This window comes from Homo sapiens, chromosome 15 (genome assembly GCF_000001405.40).
Source record: "Homo sapiens chromosome 15, GRCh38.p14 Primary Assembly".
NCBI lineage: Eukaryota > Metazoa > Chordata > Mammalia > Primates > Hominidae > Homo > Homo sapiens.
In genome coordinates this window covers 59,508,397-59,520,666 of record NC_000015.10, presented here as the reverse complement: position 1 = coordinate 59,520,666, position 12,270 = coordinate 59,508,397, and the positions used below count along the sequence as shown (strand labels likewise).

Sequence of the window (12,270 nt, the reverse complement as noted above, 5' to 3'; positions counted from 1 at the left end):
GCTTGAACCCAGGAAGCGGACGTTGCAGTGAGCTGAGATTGTGCTACTGCACTCCAGCCTCGGCGACAGAGCAAGACTCGTCTCAAAAAAAAAAAAAAAAAAATGAAGCAAACAAATCTAAACTAGGGATAGTCTACAAAATGCTGGCTGGCTGGTATTCTTTAAAAAGGTCAACATCACTGAGAAACTGATCCAGATTAATAGAGACTAAATAAAGAAACATGACAACTAAATACGATGTGTAATTCTGGATTAGAACCTGAAGGGCCAACATCACTAATTATAGGAAAAATACAAATTAAAACCACAATGAGTTATCACCTCACACCTGTTAGGATGGCTATTATCAAAAAGACAAACGAGTACAAGCATTAGCGAGGGTGTGAAGAAAGGGGAACACTTGTACACTGTTGGTGGGAATGCAGGATGGGGCAGCCATAGTGGAAAACAGTATAGGGCAGGGGTATCCAAACTTTCAGCTTCCTTGGGCCACACTGAAAGAATTGTCTTGGGCAATACAAATACACTAACACTAATGATAGCTGATGAGTGATTTAAAAAAAAAAATCACAAAAAAATCTCATAATGTTTTAAGAAAGTTTACGAATTTGGGTTAGGCTGCATTCAAAGCCATCCTGGGTCGCATGTGGCCTGCGGGATGTGGGTTGGACAAGCTTGGTATAGAGGTTACTAAAGAAATTTAAAATAGAACTACCATACGACCCAGCAATCTCACTACTGGGTATATTCCCAAAAGAAATTAAATTACTGCCTCATAAAGATATCTGCACTCCCCTGTTCACTGCACCATTATTTACAATAGCCAAGATATGGAAACAACTGAAGTGTGTCCATCAAAAAATTAGTGAATAAAGAAATTGTGTATATATACAAATGATGAATATTATTCAGCTTTACAAAAAAGGAGAGCCTGCCATTTGTCACAAATGGATAAAAATGGAGGACATTATGCTAAGTGAAATAAGACAGATACAGAAAGAAAAATACTGCACGATCTCATATGTGGAATCTAAAAAAAGAAAAGGAAGGAAGAAGGGAAGGGGAGGGGAGGGGAAGGGAAAGGAAGGGAAGGGAAGGGAAGGGAAAGGAAAGAAAGGAAGAAAGAAAAGAAAGAGAAAGAAAGGAAAGAAAGAGAGAAAGAGAGAAGGAGGGAGGAAGGAAGGAAGGAAGGAAAGGAGGGAGGGAGGGAGGGAGGAAGGCAGGCCGAGGCGGGTGGATTACTTGAGGTCAGTAGTTTGAGACCAGCCTGGCCAACACCATGAAACTCCATCTCTACTAAAAATACAAAAATTAGCTGGGCCTGGTGGTGCACATCTACAATCCCAGCTACCCGCGGGGCTGAGGTATGAGAATCACTTGAACTTGCGAAGAATAGGTCGCAGTCAGCCGAGACTGCACCACTGCACTCCAGCCTGGGCGACAGAGCAAGACTCTGTCTAAAAAAAAAAAGAAAAGAAAGAAAGTCAAAAACATAGAGAATAAAATGGTGGTTGCCAAAGGTGGGGCGGAAGAGGAGGAAATGGGGAGATGCAGGTCAAAAGATACAAATTGCTGATATGGAGAATGAACAAGACCAGATGTCTAATGTATAGCATGAGGACTGCAGTCAATAATATTGTATTGTATTTGGGATTTTTGCTAAAAGAGTACATTTTCAGGTGTTCTTGCCACACACACACACACACACACACACACACACACAGACACACACACACAAATACCTGTGAGATGATACATATGTTAACCTGCTTGAATACAGTAACTATTTCACTATGTATATATATATCAAAATATAAACATCTTGTTGTATACCTTAAATATACACAACAATTTTTTTTATTTAAAAAACATGTAATTAGAAAAAAAAAGACACTAGACTGGAAAAGGGTTGCTATAAAGGAAATAATGGCACGTTGAAAATTGAATATTAAAAAATATTTCATTGATGATACATTGTATTAAAGTTATTTATAAGAGAATATCCTTGTTCTTAGGATATATACACTGAAATAATAAAAGGGCAACCAGGCAGCGGCTCACACCTGTAATTCCAGAGCTTTGGCAGGTCAAGGCAAGAGGACTGCTTGAGGCCAGGAGTTCCAGACCAGTCTGGGCAACATACTGAGGACCCATCTCTAAAAAAATTTTTTAAATAAAAAAATGAGCTGGGCATGGTGGCACATGCCCATAGTCCTAGCTGCTCAGGAGGTCGAGGCAGGGGGCTCACCTGAGCCCAGGAGGCTGTAGTGAGCTACGATCACACCACTTCACCCCGGCCTAGGCAACAGAGTGAGCCTCTGTCTCATTCTGTCATTTTTTTTAATTTCCAAAAAAATGGAAATAATAAAGGGGTAAAAAGGCATCATGAGGCTAGGCCTGGTGGCTCTTGCCTGTAATCCCAGCACTTCAGCAGGCCGAGGCGGGAGGATCATTTGAGGTTGGGGGTTCAAGACTAGCCTGGCCAACATGGTGAAACCTTGTTTCTATTAAAAAAAAAAAAAAAAAATTAGCCGGCCGTGATGTCAGGCGCCTGTAATCCCAGCTACTCAGGAGGCTGAGGCAGGAGAATCGCTTGTACCCTGAAGGCAGAGGTTGCAGTGAGCCAAGATCACGCCACTGCACTCCAGGCTGGCAACAGAGCAAGATTCTGTCTCCAAAACAAAAAAAAAAAAGGAAGAAAGAAGAAATATATTGTCTTTGTAATAAAGAAAATGGCTTTATTTTTTAAAAGGCTCAGATGCTTTTCATATTAGGTGCTAAATATTAACATCCTCAATGGTATGTTAAATAACAATACATTCCTTCAGGGAATGATGCGAGGTTAAACATTGATGAAATATTCAAATACCATATTTTAATAGTCCAAAGACTAAGAAAGAAAATTCATTTTTATCTTTACAAGTTCTCCAATTCATATATTTAATTGTAGCTCCTATAAATAAAATAATAAACATTTGGTGGTAATAACAAAATTATTCTAGGGATAACTAGCACTTTTATTTCCATGTGGCCAAAACAGAACAATTTCATAGAAGAAAATTCATGGAATCATACAACTGGAAGAAGCTAGGAGAGAATTTAGTTCCACTTCTCACACTACAGGAACGTCTTCTTCCTGACCACAATCAACCAGCCTCTACTTGAATATTTTCTGTAACAAAGAGCTCTCAAGCTCCGAAAGCCATCAGTCTTTTAGGACTCATTAACTTCAAGGTACTTCTGCCTCATATTGAGTTAAAATCTGTCTTCGGGTACCTTCCACTTAGTGGTCACAGTTCTGTATTCCTGAGTTCAGAGCGTAAATCTAATCCCTCCCATATATGACAGCACTCAGAACTTGAAATCAGTGCTAATGTTCTCCTCTAAGCAAGTGTGAATTAATGCGCCCTGCTGACCTGCCAGTAGAGGAAAATCATTCTTTGCCAGGGTGGTACTGTACTGCTAGCACTATAAAATAAGCCCTCAAAACCCCCTCAAAGATATGTGCTTCCTTCTGAGACATGTTAACCTTGGCTATGAACAGAAAAGAATTGGCCGATGGTGCTGAAGAAAATGTACCTCAGTTGCAGGCTAAGCAATTTCAGTTCTGTTTGCCTGTCTCTCACGGTGGCTCTTTATATAGCTGAAATTCAAACAGCATTGTAGCTACTTAGAAAATACAGCACAGCTACTCAGAAAATCAACTAAGGATATTTCACGGTTATTACCATTAGCCAGGTTCATAGGTAGTTGCAGGGGATACTAATTAATAGGTTTTAGAACAAACAGAAAATAAAGCACGTGAGCTGTTCTGGTTTTGGCCTACCAGCATTAACTTCTGCTTTCATTTCCTTGATGTTCTGGTTCATCTGTAACTCCAGCTTGGTGATTCGCCCGTGCATCTTCTCCTCTTCTTGCCTTGTTCTCTGACCATCAAAAGTCTTCTTTTGACCCTCTTCTATTTTGTCAAGCCTGGCTGACATCTGGCTGAGCTTCTTCTCCATATCCCTTTCACTGGCTCCCTGAGATCCATGATAAGAACTGCACTTAATCACTCCAAAAAGAAATCTGCATTGCATTCACATCAGCCATAATATCGTTTAACAACAATCTGCAAGAAACAGATTTGCAACAGCTGCTTGTTGCCCACCATAATATCCGTTCTCCCTTTCTTCCTTAACAGATCCATGATTTTCGGCTGGGTACAAGGTCATTCAAAACAAAGACTACATTTTCAGGCTGGGTGCGGTGGCTCACGCCTGTAATTCCAGCACTTTGGGAGGCCGAGGCAGGCAGATCACTTGAGGTCAGGAGTTCGAGACAAGCCTGGCCAACATGGTGAAACCCTGTCTTTATTAAAAATACAAAAATTAGCCAGGGATGGATGGTGGTGGGTGCCTGTAATCCCAGCTACATAGGAGGCTGAGGCAGGAGAATCACTTGAACAGGGGAGGCGAGGTTGCAGTGAGCCAAGATCTCGCCATTCCACTCCAGCCTGGGTAACAGAGTGAGACTCTGTCTCAAAAAAAAAAAAAAAAAACCACTACATTCAATGAGATGTAAGTACAAGTGTATATGGCAGCTTCCAGGAAAAGTTAAAAGACAGCTGATGTATCTCCTTACTTCTTCCTTCGTCCTTCCCTTTCTGGAATTCAGCCAGAATGGCTGGAGCTCTAGCAGCTATATTGAATTATGAAGATATGGATCACTCTAGGGTTGGCAAAAAGTTAAACTGGAAGGATCCTGGGTCACTGAGGACTGAGAAGCTATCATACCAGTCCTGCATTACCTATACCCAGACTTCCATTATGCGAAATAAAAAATAAGTTTCTATTTCATGAAAGCCACTATTATCCTGGGGTTTACTGTTAGCTATTAAACCAATCCATATATAAACAGTGATCCAAAGACCAAGAATTATTAGTACAAATGTATTAGTATAAATCCAAGTAAGCCAATTAGTAGATGTGATGGAAATATGGGGAAATACTTAAAAGAACATATTTAATATTTTAAATATATATAAAATCATATATGAAAATTAAGTCTTTCCTTTCCTTTTGCCTTTCCACATGCTTGGTTTTTATGGGAATCTGTGTCTGCCAGTGAGCTTGGAGGCCAAGACTGCAAACTCCAAGCTGTAAGTGGGTTATGGCATGATACTCCTCTCTTGATGGTGCTCAATGCAGAGTCTGCAATTCAACAGCTCCACATCTGGAGAGAGCAGAGTCAGAGATGTACTGCACCAGTCATTTCAGCTCAATCATCAATATCCAACAAGAGGAAACAGTACAAGAAAAGGGAAGGGAGACAGAGATGTCATGCTAAACAATGAAAACCAATGAAACTTTGCTTGCCAGGTACTGGTTTGGGAGCATAACAATTTTGAATACTACATATGCAAGACTTTTTTTTCTTTTTTTGAGATAGAGTCTCACTCTGTCGCCCAGGCTGGAGTGCAGCGTGCAGTCATACCTCACTGCAGTTTTGACCTTCCTGGGCTCAAGGTGGATTCAGGCTCAGCCTCCTGAGTAGCTGGGACTACAAGCGTGTGTCACCATGCTCAGCTAATTTTTGTGTTTTTTGTAGAGATGGGGTTTCACCATGTTTCCCAGGCTGGTCTCGAACTCCTGGGCTCAAGCGATCCTCCCGCCTCAGCCTCCCAAAGTGCTGGGATTACAGGAGTGAGCCACAGTGCCCGGCACAAGACTTTCTTGATATCGTTTTTGAGCAGTTCTACAAACCTTAGCTCTGTGAGAGACTGGGATGAAGGAGAAGGAAAATGGGGAAAAAAATGGTGGATTCTGTTTACATGTTGCACTGTGGTATCTCACATGTAGCTACAGTAGAATGGTGTGATCTGGAGACAGAAATCTATTCAACACCAGGCAAAAAAGCAAACCCAGATCAAGAAATTAAAACAAACAAGAATGAAGTTGGTGATTCTTAGTTTTATGTAGAAACGAAGATGAACAATTTGGATCATTAAGGTTTTAGCTTAACTTCATCTTAACTGAAAGTACTGAAATTTTCTACTTAGTCTTTGTTAACCAAAACAAGTCAGAGTGTTCTATGTCTTTATGAAGAATACAAAGCATCAATATGGAACTATGGAAATGGATTTTAAGGCAAGAAACAATTGAACAGCTAAATCAGTGATAAATTACTAGGTATTATTATTCAAACAGTGTAGGCCCCCACTGAATAACTTTACTAAATTTTTGCTAAACATCAATACCTACACTGTTTTCCTTAACAATCAAGGAAAGCTGATCAATTTTCTGTAAAAGCTCTTTTTCTATCCGTTCTTGTTCCTGTTGCAACCAACTCCGTGCAGATAATATCTGGTTACTGAGTTCCTCAACTGTACCTTTAAATCTAAAAAAAAAAAATTGCAAGTTAGATGTAAAACAGTTTATTTTTTATTTTTTTTATTTTAAGTTCCAGGGTACATGTTGAGGATATACAGATTTGTTACACAGGTAAACATGTGCCATGGTGGTTTGCTGCATCTGTCAACCCATCACCTAGGTATTAAGCCCTGCATCTATTAGCTATTTTTCCTGATGCTCTCCCTTGCCCCCCCCATGCCCCCAAGCCCCAGTATGTGTTGGTCCCCTCCCTGTGTCCACATGTTCTCATTGTTCAGCTCCCACTTATAAGTAAGAACATGTGGTGTTTGGTTTTCTGTTCCTGTGTTACTTTGCTGAGGATAATGGCTTCCAGATCCATCCATGTCCCTGCAAAGGGCATGATCTCATTCCTTTTTATGGTTGCACAGTATTCCATGCTATATAAGTACCATATTTTCTTTATCTAGTCTATCATTGATGGACATTTCGGTTGATTCCATATCTTTGCTATTGTGAACACTGCTGCAGTGAACATACGTATGCATGTATCTTTGTAACTGAATGATGTATATTCCTTTGGGTATATGCCCAGTAATGGGATTGCTGGGTCAAATGGTATTTCTGGTTCTAACAATTTTTTTTAATGACATCATACAATATCAATTTCCAACTATCATATTTCTGGTATATATGCCAACATTAAACTAGGCTCAATCAGAATTACATATTTTCCTTTTCTTAGAATTGCACTTAGCACTAACATGGGAAGCTGGTAAGGCGGGAGAATACAACAGATAAACCATCTGATTGTGCTTCCTACCCACGAGGAGTACGCGGCACAGGCACTGAGGTGACACAGCGACACAGAGCTGGGCCAGCCACAGACCCCGGCAGTTCCGAGGGTCCACGATACTCCTGGCTCAGAGGACACAGTGTCTCTCATCTCCTCTTCTAGGGTCCCCTTCTTCCCCAGGCTCTTCCTCCTAGTCCCTTTTATCTCTTGGGACTAGAACCTGGCTCCCTTTCTCTCTAACGTTCCCCAAATTGCCCTTGTCCTCTATGGATATTTCCTAATGTAAATCAAAAGAAAAATTGAAAGAAAAAAATAAAACCCTCCCATCCTTCCATTCCTCTCCCTTCCCAAATTCCTTATAACTGTCCATACCTGCTACCTCCCTCTTAATTACTTCTTTCCAGTTTTTATTATAATATGTAATAAAATACAGAAGAATGTATGTGATGTAGACATGTGACTTAAATAGTGATAACATGAACACCCATTGTAGTAGAGCTACCACTTGTCCTGCAATATCTGTTCTCTTCTTCTTCCTTATTAAGAAGCCCTCAAATGTTAACTGGGTACATGGCTGCCTAGCCAGAGACCACATTTCCCAGGATCCCTTGCAGCGAGATATAGCCTCATGATGCATCAAAGTCATAAGCACGCCTTTCCAGTCCTATCTTTAAAAACAAAGCTTCTGCCCTGGACTCTCTCCCTGTCCCAGGTGACTGGGAAGGGACGAGGACTGGAGCCTTGGAAAAACCACACTGAGTTGCGACTGCTGCCTGTCTCCTCTGGACCACTGATCTCCGCACTGTTATGTGAGAGCCAGCATGGAAGCTAGCCTGTACCCTAAGTACACAACCGTGAACCCCTGCCAGGTAAGACATGGAACACTGCCAGGACCTTAGAAGACCCAAGTGTACTTTGCGATCACCCCACAACCCAAGAAGTAACCATTAACTGGAACTTATTGTTCTTCATCATTTTATTCTATTGGTTTGGATCTTAAAACAGCATATTTTTCAGCATTGCTTTTTTTTTTTTTTTTTTTTTTTTTTGAGATGGAGTTTCGCTCTGTCGCCCAGGCTGGAGTACAGTGGTGTGATTTTGGCTCACTGCAACCTCTGCCTCTCAGGTTCAAGTGATTCTCCGGCCTCAGCCTCTTGAATAGCTGGGACTACAGGCGCGCACCACCATGCCCAGCTAATTTTTGTATTTTTGTACAGACAGGGTTTCACCATGTTGGCCAGGCTAGTCTCCCAAACTCAAGTGATCTGCCTGCCTTGGCCTCCCACAGTGCTGGGATTACAGGCGTTAGCCCCCTCGCCTGGCCAGCATTGCATATTTTTAAATTTTATACAAATGGAACGTACTAAAGTGTGAGTTTTCTACTCATTTTTCACTCAACATATGTCTGTGAGATTCATTCATGCTGATTTGTATAGCTGTAGTGAATTCATTTTCATTGTTGAATAATATTCAATTTTATGAATATACCACAGCTTATCCAGTCTTCTGTTGATGGACATTTGTTTTGGTTTGTTTTTATCCATCTTTGCTATTAAAAATAATGCTGTTATGGGCCGGGTGCAGTGGCTTACGCCTGTAATCCCAGCACTTTGGGAGGCCGAGGTGGGCAGATCACGAGGTCAGGAGATTGAGACCATCCTGGCTAACATGGTGAAACCCCATCTCTACCAAAAATACAAAAATTAGCTGGGCATGGTGGCACGTGCCTGTAGTCCCAGCTACTCGGGAGGCTGAGGCAGGAGAATCGCTGAACCCGGGAGGTGGAGGTTGCAGTGAGCCGAGATCAAGCACACTGCGCTCCAGCCTGGCGACACAGCAAGACTCCATCTCAAAATAAATAAATAAAATAAATAATAATGCTGTTACAAAAATACTGATACATAGCTCCTGGTTCACATTTGGGAGAATTTCTCTAGGGTCTGAACACGTCCAACTTTTCCAGAAAACACCAGACTGTTTTCTAGAGTGGTTGTACTACTTCACATTTTACTCAGCGCTATAAAGAGGTCCTGTTCCCCACATCCTTGCTAACACTTTCACATATCTGATGTGAACCCGTGTCCTTTGGATTTCTTCTAATGTTTGGAAATTATACCAATTTTATTCTTTTAGAATGGAAATTTTAATACACACATTTAATTTATCAAAGTCTAAAGTTATTCAATGTTTCTAATTTGATCCTGAAAAACTCCTAAGAATAATTTCAGAAATCTTCCTCCTCATTTAGATGTTGTCATTGACCTATATTTTAGTTGTGTTTTGATCCTCTGCAAATCTGACTTTAATATTACTGTTTGTTTAGATTTGCCCAATGTTCATCATATTCTTTGCTCATCCTTTCTTCTTATATTTTGGACCTTCTTTTTGTATTATTTTCTTTGTTTCTTCTTCGTTTTCTTTTTTTGAGATGGAGTCTCGCTCTGTTGCCCAGGCTGGAGTGCAGTGGCATGATTTCGGCTCATTGCAACCTCCACCTCCTGGGTTCAGGTGATTTCCAGCTACTTTCGTATTTTTAATAGAGACAGGATTTCACCATGTTGGCCAGGCTGGTCTTGAATTCCTGACCTCAGGTGATCTGCCCGCCTCAACCTTCCAAAGTGCTGGGATTATGGGCGCGAACCACCACATCCAGCCATGAAGGCTGTCTTTTTAAAATTCCATTAGTGTAGTTTTATTAGTACACTTTGAGTTCTTTTTTTTTTTTTTTTTTTTTTTTTTTTTTGAGACAGGGTCTCATTCTGTCACTTAGGCTGGAGTGCAGTGGCTCAATCATAGCTCACTACAGCCTCAACCTCCTGGACTCAAGCAATTCTCTTGCCTCAGCCTCCTGAGTAGCTGGGACTATAGGCATGCACAACCATATCCAGCTAACTTTGAGTTCTTATTTGTCTGAAACATCTTTATTTTTCCACTGGCTGACAATCAGACTCTCAGTATCTGAAGGTACCAGACCACCTTCTCACCCTTAATATGGCTGAGAAATCAGCATTGGTCTAATTTCTCTCTCTGCTTTAAGATCTTTCTATATTTATTTGGTGTTCTGTAGTTTTAGAGCACCAAACTGATGTGTCTAGACTTGGCTTTTTACTTATTCTACTGGAATGTAGTTGGCTTTCTTTTTTTTTTTTTTTGAGACAGAGTCCTATTCTATTGCCCAGGCTGGAGTGCAGTGGTGTGATCTCGGCTCACTGCTGCAACCTCTGCCTCCTTGGTTCAAGCAATGCTCATGTCTCACCCTCCCGAGTAGCTGGGATTACAGGCCTGTGCCACCATGCCTGGCTAATTTTTGTATTTTTAGTAGAGACAGGGTTTCACCATGTTAGCCAGGTTGGTCTGAAACTCCTGCCCTCAGGTGATCCATCTGCCTTGGCCTCCCAGAGTGCTGAGATTATAGGCATGAGCCACTGCACCCACCATGTATTTGGTTTTCTAAGTTTGAGATTTCTCTTTCATCAATTCTGTATGCTTGTCTGCCATTCTCTCTTTTGATACTGCTTCTCCTCTATTCCCTCTATTATCTCTCATAAGATTCTCATTAGGCATAGGTTGGGCCTTCTCACTCTGTCTCCTTCTATTTGTGTCTATTGCTGTCACAAAAAATCACAACTGCGAGCTGGCCCACCTCCCCTGCAGCCTCATGCCCCACTGCTTCACCCTCACTCCCTGTTCCAGTCACCCTCGCCATCTTTCAGTTTCTTGCATGTCACATTCCTCCCACGACAGGCTATTCAACCTCATATATTCTCATCCTACTCTTTACAGAGCAAAGCCCCATTCACTCTTCAGCTCTCACCTCAAACATCCCTTCCTCAGGAAGGCCCCACAACCAGGCCTCTCACTCATTCTAGTGGCCTCATGTGTTCCTTGGCTTGGAATTCTTTGCCCCGTCCTCAAAGTGCATCACTGCAGTCTCGCTTCCATTGTCACATGGCCTTCTCTCTTGACTGTGACCCTATTGCCTCCCTCTTATAAGGACTCTAGTGATCACATCAGGCTTATCAGATAAAACCCATTTTAAAATCCATAACTTAATCACATCTGCAAAGTCCCCTTTTGCCATATAAGGTAATATATTCGCAACTTCCAGGGATTAGGACATGAAGATGTTTAGAGGACCATTATTCAGCCTACACAACCATGAACCGAACCTTCAACGCACTTACCACCATTAGCAATAATATAGTAGATGCTCATTTATGTCATTGATTAATGGTCATCAGCTCCCCAGACTAAACTCCACAAGGATAAGAACAGAGTCTGGTTTGTGTTCATTACCCAGATCCTCAGCCCCTAGGCCAATGAATACTCAATATACACTTGTTGAATGAATAGGTGGATAATTATCCAAACACAAAAAACAATAATTATGAAGGAAAAGTGGCAACATGATACAAGGAAACTTTTCTTTTTAACTTCCATTATTGTTTTCAATTTGTGCAATAAATAAAAACCAAGAGGAAAAAAATCATAGTATTGCATAAACTCATAAAGAACTTTAAGTTTTATTTTTTTAATAAATTGATTGCTTACTTAGTGTCCAAAAGCTGAAGCTGGTGGTTACTGTCTCTGTGAGACATCTTCAGTTTGGTGCTCTGCTCTGATATTGACAAGTCCACTCTGTTCAAAAGCTGAGAAATCTGGAAAAGAAATCTTGCTTATAAATATCACATCTAACGTCTTCAGATGCAACTTCAGAAAACATTTAGTAAGCCATATTGTAGTCAATGGCATTAAGATTCTATCTAATTTGATAAATTCATTTATAAGTCTACCTCATCTTTCCACCTCCATTTTCTTTCTTATATACCCATCGAAAATCAAGACCAGTAGCACTGCCAAAATATTCATCCTGCACTAAGCACTTAATTTTACACATAATTCTCTGAGGAGCAAGCCCAATTCCTACCCAAGACCGCAACTTCTACCAGCTGTCATGATAGTCAACCTTACCTTGGAATTTCTACCATCAGTTTAACGGCTCGTCATAGAAAATAGAATTTTTATTGTTTACAAAATCCATCAAGGTCTCAGATTTACCTCCATAACAAGTCAGGTCACCAGTCAATATAACTTGTAGACTATCTCCCTCCTGTTCCTTTCTCA

At 40.9% G+C, this 12,270-nt stretch overlaps 1 protein-coding gene across 14 annotated transcripts in view, besides 1 other annotated feature; it reads right to left on the bottom strand.

The window, feature by feature from the left end:
* Nucleotides 1-12,270, bottom strand: part of FAM81A (family with sequence similarity 81 member A) — a 125,575-nt gene that overhangs the window by 2,889 nt on the left and 110,416 nt on the right. For all 14 annotated transcript variants that reach the window (XM_047432171.1, XM_047432170.1, XM_011521248.3 and 11 more), the window contains 3 exons: nt 11,698-11,804; nt 6,243-6,378; nt 3,827-4,022 (listed from right to left, as the gene is read on the bottom strand). In XM_047432171.1, coding sequence (XP_047288127.1) covers nt 3,827-4,022; nt 6,243-6,378; nt 11,698-11,804 — 439 coding nt within the window. The remainder of the gene's footprint in view (nt 1-3,826; nt 4,023-6,242; nt 6,379-11,697; nt 11,805-12,270) is intronic.
* Nucleotides 5,339-5,408: an enhancer, noted in NCBI's record as "active region_9497". NCBI's record gives its function as "activates an Ori minimal core promoter by ATAC-STARR-seq in GM12878 lymphoblastoid cells {active_cell/tissue: GM12878}" and the evidence as "EXISTENCE:reporter gene assay evidence [ECO:0000049][PMID:35858748]".